This window comes from Homo sapiens, chromosome 12 (genome assembly GCF_000001405.40).
Source record: "Homo sapiens chromosome 12, GRCh38.p14 Primary Assembly".
Taxonomy (NCBI): domain Eukaryota; kingdom Metazoa; phylum Chordata; class Mammalia; order Primates; family Hominidae; genus Homo; species Homo sapiens.
Genome location: NC_000012.12, coordinates 59,104,689 through 59,129,044, shown reverse-complemented (window position 1 = coordinate 59,129,044; position 24,356 = coordinate 59,104,689). Strand labels below are relative to the sequence as shown.

General features: G+C 39.5%; 1 long non-coding RNA gene across 1 annotated transcript in view, besides 1 other annotated feature; it reads right to left on the bottom strand.

The window, feature by feature from the left end:
* Window positions 1-24,356, bottom strand: part of LRIG3-DT (LRIG3 divergent transcript) — a 210,172-nt gene that overhangs the window by 1,831 nt on the left and 183,985 nt on the right. The window contains exons 4-5 of the long non-coding RNA NR_183518.1: window positions 15,437-15,555; window positions 9,223-9,327 (exon numbers count right to left, since the gene is read on the bottom strand). This is a non-coding gene — a long non-coding RNA (LRIG3 divergent transcript). The remainder of the gene's footprint in view (window positions 1-9,222; window positions 9,328-15,436; window positions 15,556-24,356) is intronic.
* Window positions 14,773-15,032: an enhancer, noted in NCBI's record as "active region_6571". NCBI's record gives its function as "activates an Ori minimal core promoter by ATAC-STARR-seq in GM12878 lymphoblastoid cells {active_cell/tissue: GM12878}" and the evidence as "EXISTENCE:reporter gene assay evidence [ECO:0000049][PMID:35858748]".

The window sequence follows — 24,356 nt, the reverse complement described above, 5'->3', positions numbered from 1 at the left end:
CCGTCTCAAAAAAAAAAAAAAAAAAAAAAAAATCTGAACCCTCTCTTTGTTCCCTAGAAACATCTTCCTTTTACACAGAAGACTGTGGTCTTCCTAATTTGCAAACTGTTCACCAGAATAAAGTCTTTCCTCCAAGTTCTTTTTCAGATAACTTTTGTCCACACCTTTATTTAACCTACTTTACAAGGCAATTATGAGAAAAAAAAAAACAAACTTTTTTTTTAATAGCTCCAAGTTCTTTAGAGATAAGTAGCACATGGGTAGAGGTTATAGTAATAATTGCTTCTAAGTACTTGCTTCTTAATGCTAACAATATATGTCAATATTTTTTCCAAAATAAAGTTAAGAATGCTTGGAAAAATGAAATCTGGTGGTGTGGAGGTTACCAGAGCAGAAACATTGCTACTAAATATGTTACAAGTTTCAATATGCATTTTGCAGCTTTATTTTCCTGACTATAAAAATTTTATCATGATGTTTCTCACTCCACCTTTTGTGGATAATTTGATAGGATTAAGTTACGTAAGTATGTAAAAATGCTTTAAGCAAACTAAGCAAATAAATATCATACAAAATATAAGAGCTATCTTAACTGACAATGCAGACCAAGTTCTTATGCATAATTTCTGTAAAGTTGGTAGAATTTTTGCACCATTAAATTGATGCACTGGTCCCTGGTTCCATCTATGAAACCATTTCTTTTTCATAAAGACAGAGTGTTATTAATCGTCTGATCATTTAAGGATTCTTGAGTTTTAATATGAATTCTAATATTGCCTCTCTATGGAAAGCATTTATCTGTTTTTTTATAATTTTATTAAAAAAATAAAGACTGCAATGTCTACCTCTCTTAATTACTGTTATGTAAATTCATAAAGTTAGTTAAGACTGAAACACAATGTTCCTTAAGTCACAATGGATGCTGGCTGATTCTAGACAAAAAACAAATTGTTTGCAAAAGAAACACATTATCCATACCCTTAGTATGGACGCTAAGGGTATATACATAAGGGTATAAAAAAAAAAAAAAAAAATATATATATATATATATATATATATATATATATATATATATATATGGAAGGATTCATTGTTGAAAGATGATCATTTAAAGATTCTGGTGTTGGAAGAACATCCTTCAAATGCATGAGAGTAGTCTGAACTTGTATTTAGCATACATGAGATAGGAATTTCATTTTAATATTGGCAGTTAATATATGAAGGTTAAAAGTAAGATAATCAATAATTCAAATTAAAGTATCTATCTCTTAGATTCATTTTATGTGTCACCATTTCACACTTTCAACTTTTGGTCATTTATAAGTTTGGTGAGAACATGTCATATAGGTTAGTATATCTGTCTTCAGAACAATGGAAATAGGGAAGTAACTGCTCCCTGAGGAACAGTTCAAGGTAGTGCCTAACATGGTCCAAGATGATCAGTCACCACACTGCATTTTGAGTCCTCAAGGACAATTAAATGTTGCTGTGAGAAAAGAGTAAGCAAAGCAAGTAGCTTGTGTTTTAACAGAGAATATGAAATATTAAAAGGTTATTGATACGGTTTGGCTGTGTGTCTCCTCCCAAATCTCATATCGAATTGTAATCCCTTTGTGTCAGGGGAGGGACCTGGTAGGAGGTGATTGGATCATGGGGGCAGATTTCCCCCGTGCTGTTCTCATGGTAGTGGGTTCTCATAAAATCTGATGGTTTAAAAGTGTGGCACTTCCCCCTTCACTCCCTCTCTCTCCTGCTGCCATGTAAGATGTGCCTTGCTTTCCCTTCACCTTCCACCATGGTTGTAAGTTTCCTGAGGCCTCCCCAGCCCTGTGGAACTGTGAGTCAATTAAACCTCTTTATTTTATAAATTACCCAGTCTCAGGTAGTTCTTTATAGCAGTGTGAAAACAGACTAATGCAGTTATTGAGGTATAATTGAAGAACAACAGACCTCACATAATTTAGAGTATATAATTTGATGATAAGTTTTAGCATATGTATTCACCCATGAAGCTATTGCCACACAATATAAAAAATATTTCCATCATCCCCCAAGTGTCCTCTTGCCCTTCGTAGCCCCTTCCTTCTGCCTCTACCTGCTTTCTCTCACCAGACAACCAATGATTTACTTCCTGTTACTGTCGATTAATTTGAAATTCATTGAATGATATGTACATTCACTAATATAGTATACTCTGTTTTATTGCCTGCATCTTTCACTCAAAATAGCAACTTTGAGATTCATCAGTGTTATTGAGTGTATTAACCGTTTGCTCATTTTTACTGCTGAGTAAAATGTACTCCATTGTATGGGTATACCACAATATGTTTATTCATTCCCATGTCGAATATTTAGGTTGTTTCCATTTTGTAGCTGTTACAAATAAAGGTTCTATGAGCATCCACATGCAGTCTTCATGTAAACATAGGTTTCATTTTGGTTTGGCAAATACCTAAGAATGAAATGGCTGTGCCATATGGCAGATGGATGTTTAACACTTTTCAAAGTAGTTTACTATTTTGTATTCTCACCAGATGTGTATTAAAGTTGCAATTTCTCTAAAACTATTTTGTGTGGTCAACTATTTTTATTATTCTTAGATACTCTGATTTAGCAGCAGCTAAAATCTCTGTTCATCATTTTCAGCCATCTAGCTTTTTCTTTCTGATAAGTTTCTTGGAGTCCCCCTGGTGCATATGTAGTTCAGTGGCAGTTTATATGACAATTTAGGGATTCTCTGCTTTTGAATTCATCCTTTTAAGAACGTTCTCCTCAATTGTCAACCACTCTGAAAGCCTCAAACTCTATCCTCTAATACCGAAAACTAGTAAGACTATGGCTTTCTGCTTAAGTTCTGCCCACCCCATGTCATAGATTAACCCTTAAGCAAAAATGAACATGGATGTCAGCCACGCTTCAAGGATTGAATTCTAACCAAATTCTTCCCCACATTACCTTATAATACATAAATATTCATTTAAAAGTCATTCTATTTGATGATGATGCCCCAACTCTTTAGATAGTGATATGGTTTGGCTCTGTGTCCCCACCCAAATCTAATCTTGTAGCTCCCATAATTCCCACATGTTGTAGGAGGGACCCAGTAACATATGATCGAATTATGGGGGTGGGTCTTTCTTGTGATACTGAGTGGGAATCACAAGATCTGATGGTTTTATAAGCAGGAGTTGCCCTGCACAAGCTCTCTCTCTCTCTTTGGCTGCTGCTATCCACATAAGATGTGACTTGTTCCTCCTTGCCTTCCACCATGGTCGTGAGGCTTCCCTAGCCATGTGGAACTGTAAGTTCAATTAAACCTCTTTCTTTTTTAAATTGCTCAGTCTCGGGTATCTCTTTATCAGCAGCATGAAAATGAGCTAATACAGTAAATTGTTACCAGTAGAGTGGGGTGCTGCTGAAAAGATACCTGAAAATGCGGAAGCGACATTGGAACTGGGTAACAGGCAGAGGTTGGTACAGTTTGGAGGGCTCGGAAGAAGGCAAGAAAATGTGGGAAAGTTTGGAACTTCCTAAAGACTTGTTAAATGGCTTTGACCAAAATGCTGATAGTGATACAAACAATAAGGTCCACACTGAGGTGGTGAAATCTGAAAGATAGAAATGAGGAATTTGTTCATAACTGGAGCAAAGGTGACTCTTGTTATGTTATAGGAAAGAGACTGGCAGCATTTTGCCACTGCCCTAGAGATTTGTGGAACTTTGAACTTGAGGGAGATGGTTTAGGGTGTCTGGCAGACAAAATTCCAAGGCAGCAAAGCATTCAAGAGGTTACTTGGGTGCTGTTAAGGGCATTCAGTTTTAGAAGGGAAGCAGAGCACAAAAGTTCAAAAAATTTGCAGCCTGACAATGCAATAGAAAAGAAAATCCCATTTTCTGAGGAGAAATTCAAGCTGGCTGTGGAAATTTGCATAAGTTATTAGGAACCAAAAGTTAATCCCCATTACCGTGAGGAAAATGTCTCCAGGGCATGTCAGAGGTCTTCATGACAGCCCCTCCCATCACAGGTCCGAAGACCTAGGAGGAAAATGTAGTTTTGTGGGCCAGGCCCAGGGTCCCCGTGTTGTGTGCAGTCTAGAGACTTGGTGCCCTGCGTCCCAGCCACACCTGCCATGACTAAAAGGGGCCAAGGTACAGCTCAGACCATGGCTTCAGAGGATGCAAGCCCCAACCTTTAGCAGTTTCCTTGTGGTATTTACCTTGTGGGTACACAGAAGTCAAGAATTGAGGTTTAGGAACCTCCGCCTAGATTTTAGAAGATTTATTGAAACACCTGAATGTCCAGGCAGAAGTTTGCTGCAGGAGCATGGCCCTCATGGAGAACCTCTGCTAGGACAGTGCATAAGGGAAATGTGTGGTCAGAGCACCCACATAGAGTCTCTACTGGGGCACCTCCTAGTGGAGCTGTGAGAAGAGGGCCACTGTCCCTCAGACCCCAAAATGGTAGATCAACCAAAAGCTTGCACCCTGTACCTGAAAAAGCCACAGACACTCAATGCCAGCCCATGAAAGCAGCTGGGAGGGAGACTGTACCCTGAAGAGTCACAGGGGTGGAGCTGCCCAAGACCATGGGAACCCACCTATTGCATCGGTGTGACCCAGATGCGAGACATGGAGTCAAAGGAGATCATGTTGAAGCTTTAAGACTTGACTGCCCTCCTGGATTTCGGACTTGCATGGGGCCTGTCATCCCTGTGTTTTGGCCGATTTTTCCCATTTGTAATGGCTGTATTTACCCAATTCCTGTACCCCCATTGTATCTAGAAAGTAATTAATTTGCTTTTGATTTTACAGGCTCATAGGCAGAAGGGGCTTGCCTTGTCTCAGATGAGACTTTGGATTTGGACTCTTGGGTTAATGCTGAAATGGACTGAGACTTCGGGGAACTGTTGGGAAAGCATGATTGGTTGTGAAATGTGAAGATAAGAGATTTGGGAGGGGCCGGGGTGAAATGATGTGGTTTGGCTCTGTGTCCCCACCCAAATCTCATCTTGTAGCTCCCATATTTCCCACGTGTTGTGGGAGGGACCCAGTGGGAGATGATTGAATTATGGGAGTGGATCTTTCCTGTGCTATTCTTATGATAGTGAATGGGTCTCATGAGATCTGATGGTTTTAAAAATGGGAGTTGCCCTGCACAAGCTCTTTTTGCCTGCTGCCATCCACATAAGATGTGACTTGCTCCTCCTTGCCTTCCACCATGATTGTGAGTCTTCCCCAGCCACGTGGAACTGTAAGTCCAATTAAACTTCTTTCTTTTGTAAATTGCCTAGTCTTGGGTATGTCCTTATCAGCAGCATGAAAACAGACTAATACAGGTAGCATCTTTTTTTTCCCTTCCAAGTTCGTTACATTTTACATATAGTGGATTTATTTTTCTCACCATCCATTACCTTCTTTATCTACTATAGAATAGTTTAAGTTTGTACCATTTTATTATATCTGTTCATATAAAAGTCACTAACAAGTAATTACTCACCAGGATAAAAAGCCTGTTCACTCTAAGTTGCAAGTAAAATTGTTAACCTTGCTTGTCTTTTACTAGTTGTCTCAATTTCAAATTTCAACCTCAACCTACGTTTAATTTTTAAAAATGTTTTAATATTAATAAAATAAAATATTTTTATATTATTCTTTCCAAAAGATAATTCTTTTGACACCTAAATATGATTTAAGGGTTTTCATTAAGATATTTATACTTAAAACGAGCAATAGGCAACACTCTGCATTTGAAAAGTAAAGTTTTAGTAAAACTGTTATAGGTACACACACAAAAAAAATTAGGTAGTAAAATTGTAAAGATAACATTTTCTATGTATTTCTCCAAATCATAGTTTAACTGCTCCTCAAATAAATTTTTTCTGCTCCATTCCCCGATATTGTTTAAAGAGACGCTATTAGAAAACAAGAAAGAAAATTCTAGCTAAGGGAACATAACTGGTGACTGCTCTGAACCTGGCTTCCTTTCTGGAAAAATAACTCTTGTGCCAATTAGATCCTGGAATTTCCAGTGTTTTTGTAAGGCAAAAGGGTCAAGTTGGCTCAAATGAATTCTGCAGCCAAATTCATAGGAAAATGTGTCACACAGGCTTTCCAAGTGCATATCAGAAGTCATAACATGAAGTTGGGCTACATGTAGGTAAAGAATTTTATCCAGGACTCAGGAAACAGATGTGTTGCCTTTTGGGCAGTTGGTAAAGAAATAGCTCAGGAATCCATAATATGAACAATCACCCGATGCTTTCATTACACTTAGAAGAAGCCCAAACATGTCTTCATACTTTAGAGTGATCACAAATTTTACTGTTTTATTTAGTTTCTAAAATACTGAAATTGATCAATAATCGCATCTCAGATATATTTTTTAGTATTAAGAAATATTAAAGTCACATTTTCCTGCTCCCTTAATTTTCAGTGATTTATAGATTTATCAAAAAGAAGTTGAAAATTGAAAACACTTATGCAGTTTAGTCTCCAATAAAAATCACCAAAATGCTCACAAATCAATATGTATTTATTGACTACCCATTATGTGCAAGGCACTGTGCCCAGGGCGTAAAGAGTCAGACATACAGAAATTTAAGTGTAATACAATGGAATAAGTGCCACCGTAGAAGCAAAAACCAAGTATAATGACAAAAGAGAAGGAAAGAATTTACTCTTCTTGAAGGTATCACAGAGGAAAGGACATTTGATAAGAGTTTGAAGGATGAACAGGAGTTTGCCCATACACAAAGTCATAGAGGGCACTCACTACATTCAGAGAGGACAGCAGTAACCAGGTGATGAGAGAGTAGGGGAAAGTAGCCCGCAATGAAGCTATGGCAAAAACAACAGGAGCTACATCAGGTAGAATCACCTGTAGCCAACTAAGAAAAAAACATAGTCACATTGGGGTTTTAGATTCATTATTCAGGTCATTTTTTTGAGAATAGCTTTGAGGAAGACAATATTGGCAGTAAAGAGACTTGCTAGGGATTATAGTACTCTGGGTAAAATATATAAGAATCTAAACTAGGACACAAAGGAAGTCCCAAAAGGAGGTTCCTTTTGGAGGGAAGGAGGGAGAGAGAGAGAGAGGAAGACTAGGGAAAAGGGAGGAGGAATCAAGTCCTACCTTCTCATTCCTCAGATGAGGAAACAGGTTCTGAGAGATAAAAGTGGCCTTACCCAATTTACTGAAGTAACATGTTAGAGTCAACCAGGCCAGAGCAGTTTTCATCTTATATGGGAAAGGAGAGTCTCACTTATAGCATTAATAAGGAACTTATGAGAGCATCGGCAGAAATTTACTGACTTTGCTGACTTATTTAAAAGAGTGATTTTAACCTCAAGAAAAGCATGTGTTACTGATTGGAATGTAATGTTACTGGCAATGTCTTTGTACACATTTTCCAAGACTTCATGATGTTGGCTTAAACTTTTCTTTCCTTAGACCAAAGCCCACGTTTGCTAAAATTCTATTGTACTACACTATGAGATTCTTCTTCTTATATGTCTATGTGTCTGTATATATCTTGATTATTTTAAAACTTTTTGGGGTTTCTATCCCATCCCCAAAACTTTCTAATAGATAAGATACTATAGATAGCCTACATAAGGTAATATATTTTTAGCAAAGACCATTGTTAGTCACGTTTGTTGAAAACACTCTTTATGTACAAGAAGAACCAAATGGGGATATATTTTCTCATGTCTTACTCATTTAAATGCCAAGCCTAACTGGGTTAAACACCCTGAGTCAATGAGGCTAACTGTTAAATAAAAACATGCTCTAATGCTTTAAACCATGCCTTGGAAAGCACTTAGAATTGAATCAGAAAATTTAAGTGGACTCATCACAACACACATCAATTATGAAATTGATGCAAAATTGTTGTTAATATTATCATAATTTCCAGGTTTCTATTTCTGGCCATGACAAAACCATTATTTGTTTCCTGGACTAAAAGTTTTGACATCACTTTTGATTCTGCCTTCTTTTTTGTCCATTATGAGTAATTTACTAGCAGTCCATTTACAACCTCTTCTATAAAACTTCCTTGATCCTCCTAATAGTAATTAATTTTCCCTCATCTATATTCTCTTAATTATTTTACCTTTATTATAGTGCTTATTAAACTATAACTTGTATTATGGCTGTAAAAATATCTGTCTGCTCCATTGAGAGCAGGGGCCATATCTTATTAAATTTTTTAACCCCTACAATGCCTACTTCTCCACTTACGTGAATATAACTACCCAGCATAGTGTCTAGCATGTAATAGACATATACGAGGGAGTTAAACATGTTTTACAAACTTTAAAGATTTTAATTGAATATTATCATCAGAAAAATCTCCATAAAGCATTATTAACATGATGTTATACAAGTTCTCCACTGCCCACTCCATCAAGTGCAAACTTCTTTTTCTTTTGCTTTTTTAATCTAACATATTTATTACCAATTCCTAAAACAAATCCTCTATTCCAGGTATGCTGGAATCTCAATTGACGTCAATCCTCATCCTTCAAAAATCCCTACTCTAATAGTTTTGGCCTAAATAGGGATGCCCTCTTCCGCTCCTTTCCAAATCTTACCTAGATTCTAAGTTCGGCTTTGGCCCTACCTAATCTAAGATAACTGAATAGATCACTTTGTCATCAGTCCAATAATTACCTCCTTTTCTGGCTTTAATTCCTTTAGTTAGAAGACATAACTGTTAAAATTAAATGAGACTATAGATACATAAGACCAGGAAAACAGTAAACCATTAATTAGCAAGATGCATAAAAATGCAAGAATTGCTACATTAAAGCATTCACAATAAGCATTACTGATAACTATGAATTTAAGTTTCTATGGGTTAGAACTGCTAAAAAGACAGTGTTGCCAACAAATTACATGCTAATTATGGTTATCTACTATTTTGAAATATCCTACAACAAAAACAAACTTATTACTGCCCAAGAAGAAAAAGAATTCAACATTTATTCAGATAACATTATGTTAGCTGCAATTCAGAGAACTCCTACACATTCTTTATCTTGTGTGATAATACGCTGCTGTTTTTTGAGGCAGTTTTAGTTTGCCTAAAATTTTTCATCTTCAACTAAAGAGCCAAAGGTACAAGCTAAGGGTGTGATTCATCCTGCTATTTACACAATAATGCTGCATGACAAACCAAAACTCAGTGACTTACAACAGCATTTATTCTCACTCACAGGTCTTCAGGTCAAAGGTGGTTCTTCCAATCCAGCATGTGTTCAGCTGGGCTGCTCTGGTCCAGGTCACAGACTTCTTACGTGCATCTCATTCTGTAGCCTAGGCTGAAATGGCATTGATATGGTTTGGATCTGTGTTCCCACCCAAGTATCATATTTAATTGTAATCCCCAATGTTGGAGGTGGAATCTGGTGGGAGGTGACTGGATCATGGGGGCAGATTTCTCACGAATGGTTTAGCACCATCCCGTTAGTGCTGTCACGATGATGAGTGAGTTCTCGTGAGATTTGAATGTATAAAAAAGTTTGGCACCTCCCCCTTCTCTCTTGCTCCTGCTTTCACCATGTGGCATGCCTGCTCCCCCTTCACCTTATGCCATGATTATAAGTTTCCCCAGAAGCCAAGTAGGTGCCAGCATTATACTTCCTGTACAGCCTGCACAACCATGAGCCAATTAAATCTGTTTTCTTTATAAATCACCCAGTCTCAGGTATTTACTTATAATAAGGCAAGAATGAAGTAATACAGTCATATTCTTCTCATGGTGCAATTCCAAATCTGGCAAACACATTTAAGGCATCTATTTGTGTCCACTAACATTCTGTAGACCATAAAGTATCTGAGATAGTATCAATCTACTTAGAAGTTTATTTTGCAAGGTTAAAGATCATGACCCATAACACGACCTCAGGAGTTCCTGAGAACATGTGCCCAGGTGGTTGGGTTAGTTTGGTGTTTGGTTTTAAATATTTTAGGGAGACAGAAGTTTAGGCATAGACATAAATTAATAAATGTGAGTTATAGATTGCTTCAGCCCAGAAAGGTGTGATATCCTAGTGATGGCGGGGGGAGGTATAGCGCTTCCAGGTCATAGATAGATTTACAGATTTCCTAATTGGCAATTGGTTAAAAGGGTGAAGCTCTGCCTGAAGAGGTGAAATCAGCTCTGAGTTAAAGTAAGAGGAGAGTCGTGCAAGCCAAGGTTCTTGTCATACAGATGAAGCCTCCGGGTAGCAGACTTCAGAGAAAAGTGAATCTCTCTTATCAAAGGGTCAGACTCTCTGGAGAGACCTAGTAAAGGAAGCCGAATCTCTACAGAATGTAAATTTCCCCCACAAGAACAGCTGATCTTTAACCTTGGCAAAATAAACTTCTAAGTAGATTGATACAATTTCAAAATATGTCAAAGATACACATTTCGGGGTAAAATACTTTGATTTCCTTTTAGGGCCTATTTTCTGCCATGTGACGTCATACCTGGGTGGGATTGGAGTTTGTATCTTATTGCTACAAAGAGTCTGTTCTGCCAGTCTTAGACTTTCTATTTTAAAGTTAATGTTGGTCAATTGTATGCCTGAACTCCAAAGGAAGAAGAGTATAATGAAGCATGTCCAATATCATCTACCCACCTTCCTGTCATGGCCTGAACTAGTTTTTCAGGTTTTATCAGGTCCCCTTAGCCAAGAGAAGGGTCCATTCAGTGAGCTGGAGGACTTAGATTTAATTTTTGCTTTACAATTCCATCAGCCATATCATACCTGACAGCCAAGTCCAACATTAACAGGGAGTAGATATTTGATGAACGATAAATCCAACTACTGCAGAAGGCTAAAACGTTAGGTGAGCACAACCTAGATCAACAACTGAAAAACACAGTTGATCTGTGGGAATAATGATTGCTATTACAAGCTTATGACACACCTAGCCTCTACAGTATAGCCTATTGCTCCTAGGCTACAAACCTGTACAGCATGTTATTGTACTGAATTCTGTAGGCAATTGTAACGCAATGATAAGTATTTGTGTATCTAAACATATCAAAACATAGAAAAGATATGGTAAAAATACAGTATTATTATCTCGCTACTACTACTAAAATTATTATTAAAATACCACCATTGTGGTATTTTTGTGGTTTCAGTCAACTATGCAGTCCATAGTTGGCTTCCGTATCTGGCTTGGAGATGCTGACTGGAGTTGGGATTCTGCAAACTGTGTCCTTTTGACCAGTTACTGTCTTGTTAGATTCTATGACTAAGGGCATTAAAAGTGAGACTACAAAGTAGGAGGAGAGGGGAAAAGACTTCTTTCTTGTCTATTCCCATTAGTCTTCCCAGCAATGGTTCGGCAGCAACAGTTGGTTGATGGTATTTTCTTTCCCCACTCCCAGAATGATGCATTCCACCTCAGTGATAGTAGCACCAACTGGGCAGTTCCATTTTTCAGGAGTCACTTTCAATTCTGTAGAGTCCTCTTAGAAGCTCCCTGGTTGTGAAAATGAAGCAGCATCATTGTCTGGGGTAAATCCCAGGGTTCGTCGTCTCGCACCAAGAAGATTAACCACACGGACATACACACACTGGAGTGGGTTAAGGAGCAGAAATTTTAATAGCAGAAAGGAGAGAGGAGAGCAGCTCCCGCTCTCTTGTGAGAGAGAGGCATCCAAAAGGGAAAGGCTGCAGATCGCAGCAGATGGTATAGGCAGCCTTGAGGAGGCGGTGTCTGATTTGTAGGGCCCACAGATTGGTTTAACCAGGTGTGATGTTTACATAGGGCATGGAAAGCCTGGTTGCCCCACCCTAATCTTATTACGCAAACGGCCTTTCCATTTGGCCAGTGCCATCTTGTCTGCTCTTTACTGTACACATGGCTGGCAAAAGGAGAAGATGGAGCCACCATTTTGAACATGCTTACTCCCAGGTAGTATATTTGTATTGGCACAACTGCTAGCATTCACCTGTGCAAGCTTCCAGCTTGCTTGTCTATGTCTGCAGTTCGATTTTACAGGCTGCTCTTTATTAGAAAAGAAAATGATTTTGGGGCTGCTTTTCATTAAAAGGAAGACCTTACGGAGGATTCCCATGCCCTCACTATCTGCCTAAGTACTTTCTTCTTAGCTCTTATATCAAAAACACCACTCTCTTCCCTTTGTCTCTTCTGTTCCAGGGGTAGTAGCTCTCACTGCAGTTACTACCTCCATAATCTCAGAAAGTTCTGTTGGACAGCCATGACACAAGACCTTGGACCCAAGGTCAATCCAGGGCACTGGTTCCCAAACTTGTCTGTACATTACAATTACTTGAGGAGCTTTTCAAACTTCCAAACATCAGCCACAGCCTAGACCAGTTTATTCCCAACCTCTGGGGGTGGATACAGGCATTCCACTTTTTTCTTTTTCAAGCTCCCCATGTCATTCCAACTTGCAAACAAGGTTGAGAACCACTAACCTAGAGGTCAGGTTAAACAAAACGACAAGCTAACTAGCATTACATACTTTTCTTTAAGATTGCTATTAGAGAATAATCACTACTTTCTCGATCTCTCAAATTCCTACTGCTAATAAAAATGGGAACTACTTTTATCTTTTTAATGTTGATCTACCTATATTTCTGTCTTTGTATGAAGGCCTAGAATGAAAATGCATTCCTTGAATTTATTTGGAACATTAAAGAAAACTCTTCATCCTTCATAGAGAAAAAAGTACTAACAGGTATTTTGGTTTTCTGGTAGGCAGGTTGGTTTGTTTAGAATGGCTTATAAGTGGCATTTAAAGGTGCTGAAACAGCTGCAGTGCTCAAAAAAGTGTGAAATTCTTTTCTGCTCTTGTAAACAGTAGAGAAAATATCACCAGCATCTGAGGCTTTCCACTGAATGCCCCGCAATCAGCTAAAGGGAAGGCAGAGCAAACCATTGCAAAGTGGTCTGTGAGCAGACAGGAAGATGTGAGCAATATGGCAAAATGCTCACTTGAAAAGAGGATTAAAATAGAATGTAACTCTTTATTTGAATTACCTGGCAAAGGCTAATTTCTGTCCATAAAAAGGTTTGAATGTTTGGGAAACAAGAAATCAGAATTTAAAGTGCCTTGATTTGATTTTTGTGCTTTATGTTACTCAAAATGAAAGAAGAATAAATGCAACGGGAAGGAAGGGAGATAAAAGCAAAAGGGCAAACTGTAGCCTTCTTCCATGTAAATGAGTTATTTTTCTTAATGAGTACTGTTCCTGCAAGTAATTAGCTGAATATGGAATCTGAATGAATGAATAATGCTAAATAAAATAAAAATTGACCCCAGTCCGCAGCTGTTTATTGAAGTGAACCCAGTATGAACCTCTCTATGGCTGTGGCCTCACACGCGAAGTGAAATGAATCACCAGTTCAGCTCAGCTAATTCAAACCAAAAATGCAATGCTTGATTCAATTATCAGAATGTTTCAGGAGAAAATTATTTTTCTTGTGTTTTCCACTTCATTTGCATATATAGCTTAAAGATAATGTATTCACAGACACATCTCTTTATATATTTTCCATAATTTTCATACAATCAGAGTAAATATTTGAGGAAAAAATTACCCAGAGCTTATCTACATTTTATTATTTGTCATTTCTTTGCATTGAAAGGAAAATGCTGCCTATAGTTTGTTTTCAGTTCTCCTTATATTCATTCATAGACTCATTAATTCACTCATTCAAAATCATTTACTAAATTCTTACCACGTGGTAGGCATCTGGATTGCTTCCAAGTGCAACAAAATGAATAAAGTATAGATGTGGTGAAATAATTTATCGATATAATTAACTTGTATGCTAAAGGATTGTTCTATTTTTTTCCCTTTCCCACTTTGTAGGCAGTAGCCAGACTCAGAGTATTTCCTTGCCTGGAGGATTTTTATTGGCCAGAGGTAAAATAGTAGCTGCTTCCTTCTCAAATTAAAATGGCACCATTCTATGGGATGTAATCTATCAGATTACAGTATATATTGCATTTATCAATGAGGTCTAACCAGGAGACAGAAACAACATAGTAATTTGAACTGGGAAATTTTAATATAAGTTATAATGATAATTTTTTTTTTTTTTTGAGACAGGGTCTCACTCTGTCACCCAGGTTGGAGTGCAGTGGCACAATCATGGCTCACTGCAGGCTCAAGGTCCCACGGCATCCTCCCACATCAGCCTTCCAAGTAGCTGGGACCACAGCTGCACACCACCATGCCTGGCTAATTTTTGGTACTTTCTGTAGCAATGGGGTTTCATCACATTGCCCAGGCTGGTCTTGAACTCCTGGACTTAAGCAATCCACCTGTCTTGGCCTCCTAAAGTGCTGGGAGATTACAGGAATGAGCCACCACGCCTGGTCAAAAAATAATGATTAACTATAACTATGAAGTGACTATAAAGAGAGAAAAGACAACTCTCAAATAGAGGTCAGCAAATTTTTTTCTGTAAAGAGTCCGATAGTACGGAGCATACGCTTTCTGGACAATTGGGTCTCTGTTGCAACTATTTGTTTCTGCCATTACAGCATCGAAGCAGCCAGAGACAAATTATAAATCAGTGTGCATGCCTGTATTCCAGTAAGTCTTTATTTACAAAATCTAACAGATGGTATTGAGGACCCCTGTTCCAAAGAATTCCCTGGGACCCAAGAAAGGAATAACTTGGCAAGGGGGCCGTCTTCCTGAGGCTGGGATTTAAACCTATTCCAGAAGATGTGTTTGGAGCGTACTGGATGGTGGAGCCACTGGCTGCATTGCCTGGGCCAGACCTGGTTCATAGTCGATGTATAAACAAGAAGCACACTTCCTCAAGCAGGGGGAGCTTGGCGGGAGGGCACACTGAGGCAGTGGGGCTTTGGCAGGCAGTTTCCTGGCAGGCCTACAGGAGGCCTAGGCACCTGGCATCCACATCAGGGGGGCCACAGTGAGGTGATTACTGAGCTAAGATGGGGCCTTGAGTTTGCAGGAAGTCAGGCAGCACAGTCTGGGTGCATGGCTGGGACAGTGCAGTTTGGCAGCAACGCAGAAAGAGCAAGAAGCAAAAAACCTGCAACTTACTGGAACCGTGAAAGGAAACTCCTTCCTCCTGCCACGGCCCTCCAGCGCCCTCTACTGACAAACTTAGCATCATGCTTACTACAGAGGAAAGACTTCAAAGAGTCTTGTCTGTTATTTCAGAACAGGTAATATAAGGGTAGATTTGGAGCTGAAAGGCAATAAATTGATAACTGTCACCATGCATAAAAATTCTTAATAATACCAGAAAAATTCTTCCATAATAAAGCATGTATCTCAGGCCAAAATTCCAGGTGGACTTTCTAAAATTGTACACATTCTGTTCAACCCTCTCCTTTCTCCGCATAAGAAATGGTAACTTCATTTGTTTACTGTAACCAACCCCTTCTAGGTTGCATCAAACATCGAGAAGTTTTACCTTGTGCCAAGGTACTGGGGAGAGGATAAATCATCTGACCCTCCAGTTGTCTGTTCACACAGGTTTCACCGAAAATGTCCAGTGTATCAACCTGCACAGTCATTCAGCTTCAGTGGGACCTGTCACGATATTTGCCAAAGCTTATTTGTGTCCAAGATTAGTTCCCCATTTTGTTGTCATATTTTAAGGTTTCAAATCTATGCTTTGAAATAAATTCAAAGTTATATTTATGGTTGCATAAACAAATCTATTTTCATTTAGAAAATACATGTTTCAGTAGGCCATGGAACACTTTGGGGAAATGACAAAGCTAAATCCCATTTGGGAATTATTAGGGTACAGGATGACCTGCTTCCAGTTCCAAAGTATGATCTCTGAATGCCTTGTCTTGCCCCTCAGCTGCCCTACACACATACTAATAGAAGTACTGCCCCAACAGCCACAGCATCATGCACAACATTTTCTCTCCATTTAACCCCAAATTCACAGTACCTGGCTAGGAAAACTGAGCTCCCTCTAGGAATAAACCCATAGTGAGAGCCAGACCAAAATCCCTGGAAATAAAGATCCAAGTAACTTACACAGGGAATAAGAATAGCAATCACTACATGTCGGCATGTGTTTCTTTTTTAACGTACCAGGAACTTTCAAAAGACCTTACATACATTAACTCATTTAATCAGCATAACATTCCTGTTAGGAAGATAGGGCTGTTATCCCCATTTTACAGATGAGGTAACTGAGGCACAGAGAGTTTAGGTGACTTGCCTAAAGTAAGTAGCAGTGATATATGGAATTGAGGCATCTAAGCTTTAACAGTCTTCACAGATGACTCTGATATCCAAATAGGCTTGGAAGACACTTATAATGAAATATGTATATTTGCACTGTACATTTAATTTTATCAACATGACTTCATGTTAAGTTCTATCAATATGATAATTGATTGATTGATTTGGTTTTATAAAATTATAAACATGGAAAAAAAGTGCCCATTTCAAATTTTACAAAAATGTTATCTTTAATAACCTTTTTGCTTCCAGGTTAAAAATGGAAATAACTGTGATGGTTTTCTTCTTATGCTTGGTATCCCCTTCACTCTCCAGAGCTCTTTAGCTGGGTGTCCTATTACATGATTCTCCTAAGCGGAATATCCAGGAGGGGTTGGGACTGAAGTTGCTGACAACATTCTTGCAGCCAGTGTCCATCAATGGTAGGATTCCGGGAGCCTAAGATACTGTATCAAAGACATCTCTCTATCTGCATATATGTGTCTGTGTGTGTGCATTGTTTGTGCTGTTATAACAAAATACCTGATACTGGACAGTTAATAAGAACAGAAACGTATGCCTCACAGTACTGGGGATGGAAGTCTAAGAACAAGTTGCTAGCAGGTTTAGTGTCTATTGAGGCCTGCTTTCTGCTTCTAAGATGGCACCTTGAACGCTATGTTCCCACAGCTGAAGCTGGAAGGACAAAAAAGAACATAGCTCGTTCCCTCCAGCCCTTTTACAAGCTAGCTAATCCCATCCATGAAGGCTCCCCTCATGACCTCATCATTTCCTAAAAGCTCCACCTCTTCACACTATCACACTGTTTATTCAGTTTCAGCACATGAACTTTGGTGGTCATTCAGATCATAGCACGTGTGTATATATCTCTATCTATCTTAGTGATTACAATTTATTTCCTCTTTAGAGTAAAATTCCTGCAATATCCCACTGTCTAAGTTCAAAATGAATAATAATTGTTCCACTGTCAAACAGAGATTAATCTTTTAAACATTAATTCTGTATTGCCTCAGATACCACTTAATTCTATTACATTAATTCTATATTGCCTCAGATATCACTTAACAATGATTGTTTTCTTTCTACTTCTAAATGAATCATAAAAATAATATATAACTAGTAGAGCCTCTAATACTTTCTAATTTTCTAATGCATAGTTACATGTGTTCTGAGTTTAAGGTAAAAGATAGGTGCTTCAGAAATAAATGTGGAATGATTTTACTTTTCAAAGGGAAATTTGTTTTCTAATAGAGGTACTCCAGGCAAAATAATCATAGACTAAATTTTAGATGTGTATATTTTATCCACAATTATTTTTCAAACAACATTTGCATACGTACAGCCCTAAATCAAGCCACAAGAAAGCAAGCTCAACATGGTCCCATGGTCTTTGAGCCTACAATTGAAGCCACAAATCCCAGATGGAACAAACATAAAATTGCAATAGAAACTGAGATCAAGCTGCAAAATTAACAAAAGTCAATATGACCATACCAGTAAATATGCATATAGTAAATGGTTCAAAAAAATTATGTTTATGGAAAATATAACAAAAGAAATAAGTAATTGACTAATGGTAATAAAAGAGAAGTATAAAAGCTATTAATATATCCTAGTAATTGTCAACTGAAATTAAAAATTATTTCAACCAGTAAATAATAGTGTCATCTTGGATCTTCGTTCTTTGAGGCAATAGTAAAGATGTTATGTTCCCTGTTCCTTTTTGGCATAGCTATTTTTGTTGTAAGCTTCTCTAAAACATGAAACTCTTAAAACACTTTATGTAAAACCTCTGAGATTAGAAAGGGAGATAAAATAACAATAATATCCAAAACAATCAGTTTAATAAATATTAAGGCTGACGTAAGAATTTTATATACATTATCTTATTTGATCCATTTAAATCTCTGTGAAATGAGTATTATTATTATAATACCTATTTTAGAGACGGAGAAGTTGCAACTAAAGAAATTCAATAACTTGGCCAAGGTCATAGCTGGCAAGTGGAAAATCTGTCATTCAGTCTCAGCCAGTGTTACCCCAAAGCTTGTGTAATCACTGCTCTATTCTGTATTCAGAATGCAGAACCCTGCCCATCCTTTCTCCTAGGATGTTTCCTATAATGGCACTACCATCAATCCAATTCTACAATAAATTGGATTTCAACGCTGAAGCCAGCCTTGGAAACCTGCTCTTCCTTACCACTCCATTCAAACCATCTCCAAGTCCTTCTGTCACTTCTCCTTACTTCCCTGTCCCTCCTGTAGCACCATCTTGGTCCTAGGCCATTATCTTGAAGGAGGACGGTGGCCACAGACTACTGACTGGTCTCTCTTCTTTTGTGCTTGTTTTTCTCTAATCTGTTCTCAATACAGTAGCCAGAGCTATCTGTCCAAAGCAGGGTAAACAACTCAGCTTGTTTAGAACTTTCTGGTTTTGGCATTGAATGTCCAAGTCCTGGTAAATGCCTCAATCCCAACCAAACCTAGTTCTAAGTATAAATTAGATTATTGTACCTCTCTTGGCTAGAACTCATCAATGGTTTCTTTTGCTGTTGGATCAAAATATTTCATGTGCATACTTATCTTCATGACCTTGTCCCACTCAACAGTCCTTTCTGACCTGATCTTAGACCCTCTCTTCCTCACAATGGCTTCCTGGTAAAATCTCTTTGTTTCCCCTGATCCTAGGGCCTATGCACATGCTGTTCTTTCAGCTTTTAATGCTCTGTCCCTAAATACCCACCTCCCCACTCCCTGCCCCAACATCCATACTGGCTTTGCCTTGTTAACTCCAGCTCCATATTTGGATCTTTCTCAGGGAGGATTTCCCTGGGGCCTAACTAGAATCCTCATAGATAGGACTTATTTCTTGCTTTATTGTCCCCGACTCAGCTTTTTTATGAAGTTATTTGCTTAACGTCCATTTCCCCCACTAGCTTTAAAAGCCATGTGGCTGAGACTGTGTCTGTTGGGTTCAATATTATATCCTAGCACTTCCATGGAATAAGGCATCTAAGTAGGTGCTCATTAAAAATTTGTGAATGGACTAGGCATGGTGGCTCATGCCTGTAATCCCATCACTTTGGGAGGCTGAGGCAGGAAGATTGTTTGAACTTAGGAGCTATAACCAGCCTGGGCAACATATTGAGATCCCAACTCTACAAATAATAATATATTAGCCAGGCATGGTGGCATCCAGTTGTGGTCCCAGCTACTTGGGAGGCTGAGATGGGAGGATTGCTTGAGCCAGGGAGGTTGAGGCTGCAGTGAGCCATGATCACACCACTGTACTCCATCCTGGGAGACAGAGTAAAACTCTGTCTAAAAAAAAATTACATGAATGATAGGTTACTAGATAATTTTTTTAATGACAATATTCCATAGAGAGAGAGTGCAATTGCATTACAAGAAAGTTTCTTATCATTGCCTTTATTTATATTCTTTTTCTACTAACATTCCCTGAGTGACCTCTTCTACCCTGTAGCTTCAAAGGCCATTTACGCTGATGATTCTCAAATCTGTGTCTGTAGCCCTTATGCAATGGTGTGCTAGCCTATATAGTAACTTTGTGTGAATTAAAAGTTACCCCCATTTACATGTAAGAAAAAGAATAACCTTACATATTATTGCATGAAGGGGTGGGTTGCCCCTCCACACCTGTGGGTGTTTCTCATTAGGTGGAACGAGAGACTTAGAAAAGAAAGAGACACAAAGTATAGAGAAAGAAAAAAGGGGGCCCAGGGGACCAGTGTTCAGCATACGGAGGATCCCACCGGCCTCTGAGTTCCCTTAGTATTTATTGATCATTCTTGGGTGTTTCTCGGAGAGTGGGATGTGGCAGGGTCATAGGATAATGGTGGAGAGAAGGTCGTCAGCAGGTAAACACGTGAGCAAAGGTCTCTGCATCATAAACAAGGTAAAGAATTAAGTGCTGTGCTTTAGATATGTATACACATAAACATCTCAATGCCTTAAAGAGCAGTATTGCTGCTCGCATGTCCCACCTCCAGCCCTAAGGCGGTTTTCCCCTATCTCAGTAGATGGAATATACAATCAGGTTTTACACTGAGACATTCCATTGCCCAGGGACGGCAGGAGACAGATGCCTTCTCTTGTCTCAACTGCAAAGAGGCGTTCCTTCCTTTTTTACTAATCCTCCTCAGCACAGACCCTTTATGGGTGTCCCTTTACGGGCTGGGGGACGGTCAGGTCTTTCCCTTCCCACGAGGCCATATTTCAGACTATCACATGGGGAGAAACCTTGGACAATACCTGGCTTTCCTAGGCAGAGGTCCCTGCGGCCTTCCTCAGTGTTTTGTGTCCCTGGGTACCTGAGATTAGGGAGTGGTGATGACTCTTAACGAGCATGCTACCTTCAAGCATCTGTTTAACAAAGTACACCTTGCACAGCCCTTAATCCATTTAACCCTGAATTGACACAGCACATGTTTCAGAGAGCACAGGGTTGGGGGTAGGGTTACAGATTAACAGCATCTCAAGGCAGAAGAATTTTTCTTAGTACAGAACAAAATGGAGTCTTGTATGTCTACTTCTTTCTACACAGACACAGTAACAATCTGATCTCTCTTTCTTTTCCCCACAATTGCACAACATGAACAGCTTGTGGGCACTTTCTACATAGACGTACACATGAGTGCACACACACATGCATACACACATATACACACACACACCTGCCCACTCATACATCCTCCTTCCCCAGATGCCAAGCTCTCACTTGCCTCTAGCAGTATGCATACTTCATACACTGTTTCATGCAGATAGGTGAGGTGACAACATCAGGTTCAGTGTCGCAAGGAATGAGAGTCGAGAATCTGAGCTCTGAAAGAGAATGGAAGGTGGCAAAAGAAGCACCCCAAGGGGGACCCTGAGCACTACTGGGAGAGGGTGTAGCCACACGCACATGTGATGTTGGTTTGGGCATGAATGCATGCTCTCCTGGGTGAGTCCCTGGCCTGTTGTGTGTGTGAGGGAGGGATGTGTATAGGAGACAGCCCCCCATCACTGCTCTAGGAGCCTCCAGCACCTATATCCATGATGTGAATGGTGCTCCCTGAGACAGGGTGCTCAGAGGCAGTAAACAAACTAAATGCCTGTATGCCGGACTTTGTGTTTGTCTTTTCCAGTCTACATACCAAAATATCACACAGTCTATAGCAGTCTTTGCTTCAATGTATGCAGGGGCCTCAAATGTAATTTCTTTAAAAATATTAGCTTTCTATAATCTAAATCTCAATAAGGGTGCAACCCTCCAACCAGTCTCCTATTCAGAAGCTTGAACAAGCCCATTTGCCTTTCTTTCATCATCGACATCCAGTTAGATGCCAAATTTAAGTTATGTCTCAGAAAGCACTCTTAAAAGTGTATTTTTTCTATCTTTGCTGCCACTGCTTTTCAATTCAAACCTGCATCATCTTCCCAGAACTATTGAAAAGGTCTCCTGATATTTTTTCACCTATATATCTCACATTGACTCCAGAGAAACCTTCCTTCTAACATATTTTTGAGAACTGTTGGTCAAAGCTCTAGTTAGATAGGAGAGATAAGACTTTTGTGATCTATCATACAGCTTGGTAACTATAATTAAGTGTATCACAGATTTTAAAATTGCTAAGAGGGTAAATTTCAAATGTTCTTACCATAAAACAATTATAAGTACTTGTGGTGATGGATATATTAATTAGCTTGATTTAACCCCATTCCACATCGTATACTATTAATAAGAAAAATAAAACAAAATAGTGTTGAAGTGTTGGGGTGGCGCAAATTTTTGGGGGTGGTATGGAGAGAGAATGGGCGATGTTTCTCAGGGCTGCTTCGAGCGGGATTAGTGGCGGTGTGGGAACCTAGAGTGGGAGAGATTAAGCTGAAGGAAGATCTTGTGGTAAGGGGTGATATTGTGAGGTTGTTAGAAGAAACATTTGTCGTATAGAATGATTGGTGATGGCCTGGATATGGTTTTGTATGAATTGAAAAACTAAATGGGATAAGAGAAGGAGAAAAACAGGTATAAAAGGTCTAAGAATTGGGAGGACCTAGGACATCTAATTAGAGAGTGCCTACAGAGGTTCGGCATAGTCCTGCCAGCAAAGATTATTTATTTACTTCAAGAATTAAGAGTGGCAGTTTGGGGATAGCATGAGGAGATATCAGCTGTGATGGCTTGGATAAACAGTGTAAATCAGCAATGTAAACGAGAGCAGAGCATGTATGAGTAGTTGAGAACGGTGAATAGGAGTATGACTGGACAGAAGATAGTAGGGATGACACGTTATTTGGGGGCACAGTCCAAGTTGGTCTGGTGTCTGGAATGAGACTGGGACCTAATGAAAAGGAGCGTCTATACAGAAGCTCAAATGGGCTGTACCTTGTAGCATTCTGAGGACAGGTCTGGCTTCTGAGAAGAGAAAGTGGTAAAAGTATTGTCCAGTCCTTTTTAAGTTGGTGGCTGAGCTTGGCGAGGTGTGTTTTTAATAGACCATTAGTCCGTCACTGAATACTAAGAGCCTGAAAAAATGCTTGGCTGATTTGACTAATAAAGGCTGGTCTGTTATCAGACTGTATAGAGGTGGGAAGGCTAAACTGAGGAATTATGTCTGACAGAAGGGAAGAAATGACTGCGGTGGCCTTCTCAGACCCTGTAGGAAAGGCCTCTACCTATCTAGTGAAAGTGTCTACTTAGACTAAGAGGTATTTTGGTTTTTGTGACTTAGGCCGTGTTGAGTAAAGCTAATTTGCCAGTCCTGGATGGGGGCAAATCCTCGAGCTTGATGTGAAGGGAAGGGAGGGGGCCTGAATGATCCTTGAGGAGTAGTAGAATAGCAGATAGAATAGCAGATGGAACACTGAGAAGTTATTTCCTTGAGGATAGATTTCTATGATGGAAAGGAAACGAAAGGTTCTAAGAGGCGGGCTAGTGGTTTGTACTGTAGCATAGCCTGCCTTTGCTGGTGTGTGGTGATTAGGCCTGGTGGAACTGCCATCAATAAATCAAGAGTGATCAGGGTGAGAAACAGGGAAGGAAATGTGGGGAAACGGGATGAACATCAGGTGGATCAGAGAGATGCAGTCATGAGGGTCAGGTGTGGTATGAGGAATAATGTGGGAGGCCGGACTGAAGTCCAGGCCAGGAACAATGGTAATTGTGGGACTTAACAAAGAGTGAGTACAGCTGAAGGAGCCGGGGAGCAGAAAGTATATGCATCAGGTATGAGGAAGAAAATAGATTTTGGAAGTTATGAGAAATGTAGCGAGTGAGTTGAGCATAGTTTGTGATTTTGAGGGCCTCTAAAAGTATTAAAGCAGCGGCAGCTGCTGCACGCAGACGTGAGGGCTAGGCTAAAACAGTAAGGTCAAGTTGTTTGGACAGAAAGGCTACAGGTGCGGTCCTGGCTCTTGTGTAAGAATTCTGACTGCACTAACCATGCCTAGGAAGGAAAGGAGTTGTTGTTTTGTAAGGGATTGAGGTTTGGGAGATTAATCGAACACGATCAGCAGGGAGAGCACGTGTGTTTTTACGAGAATTATGCCGAGATAGGTAACAGATGAGGAAGAAATTTGGGCCTGACTGAAGTAATGGGGTCTGTCTGTGAAGCCTTGCGGCAGTACAGCCCAGGTAATTTGCTGAGCCTGATGGGTGTCAGGGTCAGTCCAAGTGAAAGTGAAGAGAGGCTGGGATGATGGGTGCAAAGGAATAGTAAAGAAAGTATGTTTGAGATCCAGAACAGAATAATGGATTGTGGAGGGAGGTATTGAGGATAAGAGAGTGTATGGGTTTGGCACCATGGGGTGGATAGGCAAAACAATTTGGTTGATAAGGCATAGATCCTGAACTAACTTGTAAGGCTTGTCTGGTTTTAGGACAGGTAAAATGGGGTAATTGTAAGAGAGTTTATAGGCTTTAAAAGGCCACGCTGTAGCAGGCGAGTGATAACAGGCTTTAATCCTTTCAAAGCATGCTGTGGGATGGGATATTGGCATTGAGTGGGGTAAGGGTGATTAGGTTTTAATGAGATGGTAATGGGTGCATGATCGGTCGCCAAGGAGGGAGTAGAGGTATCTTATACTTGTGGGTTAAGGTGGGGGAATACAAGAAGACGACGCAAA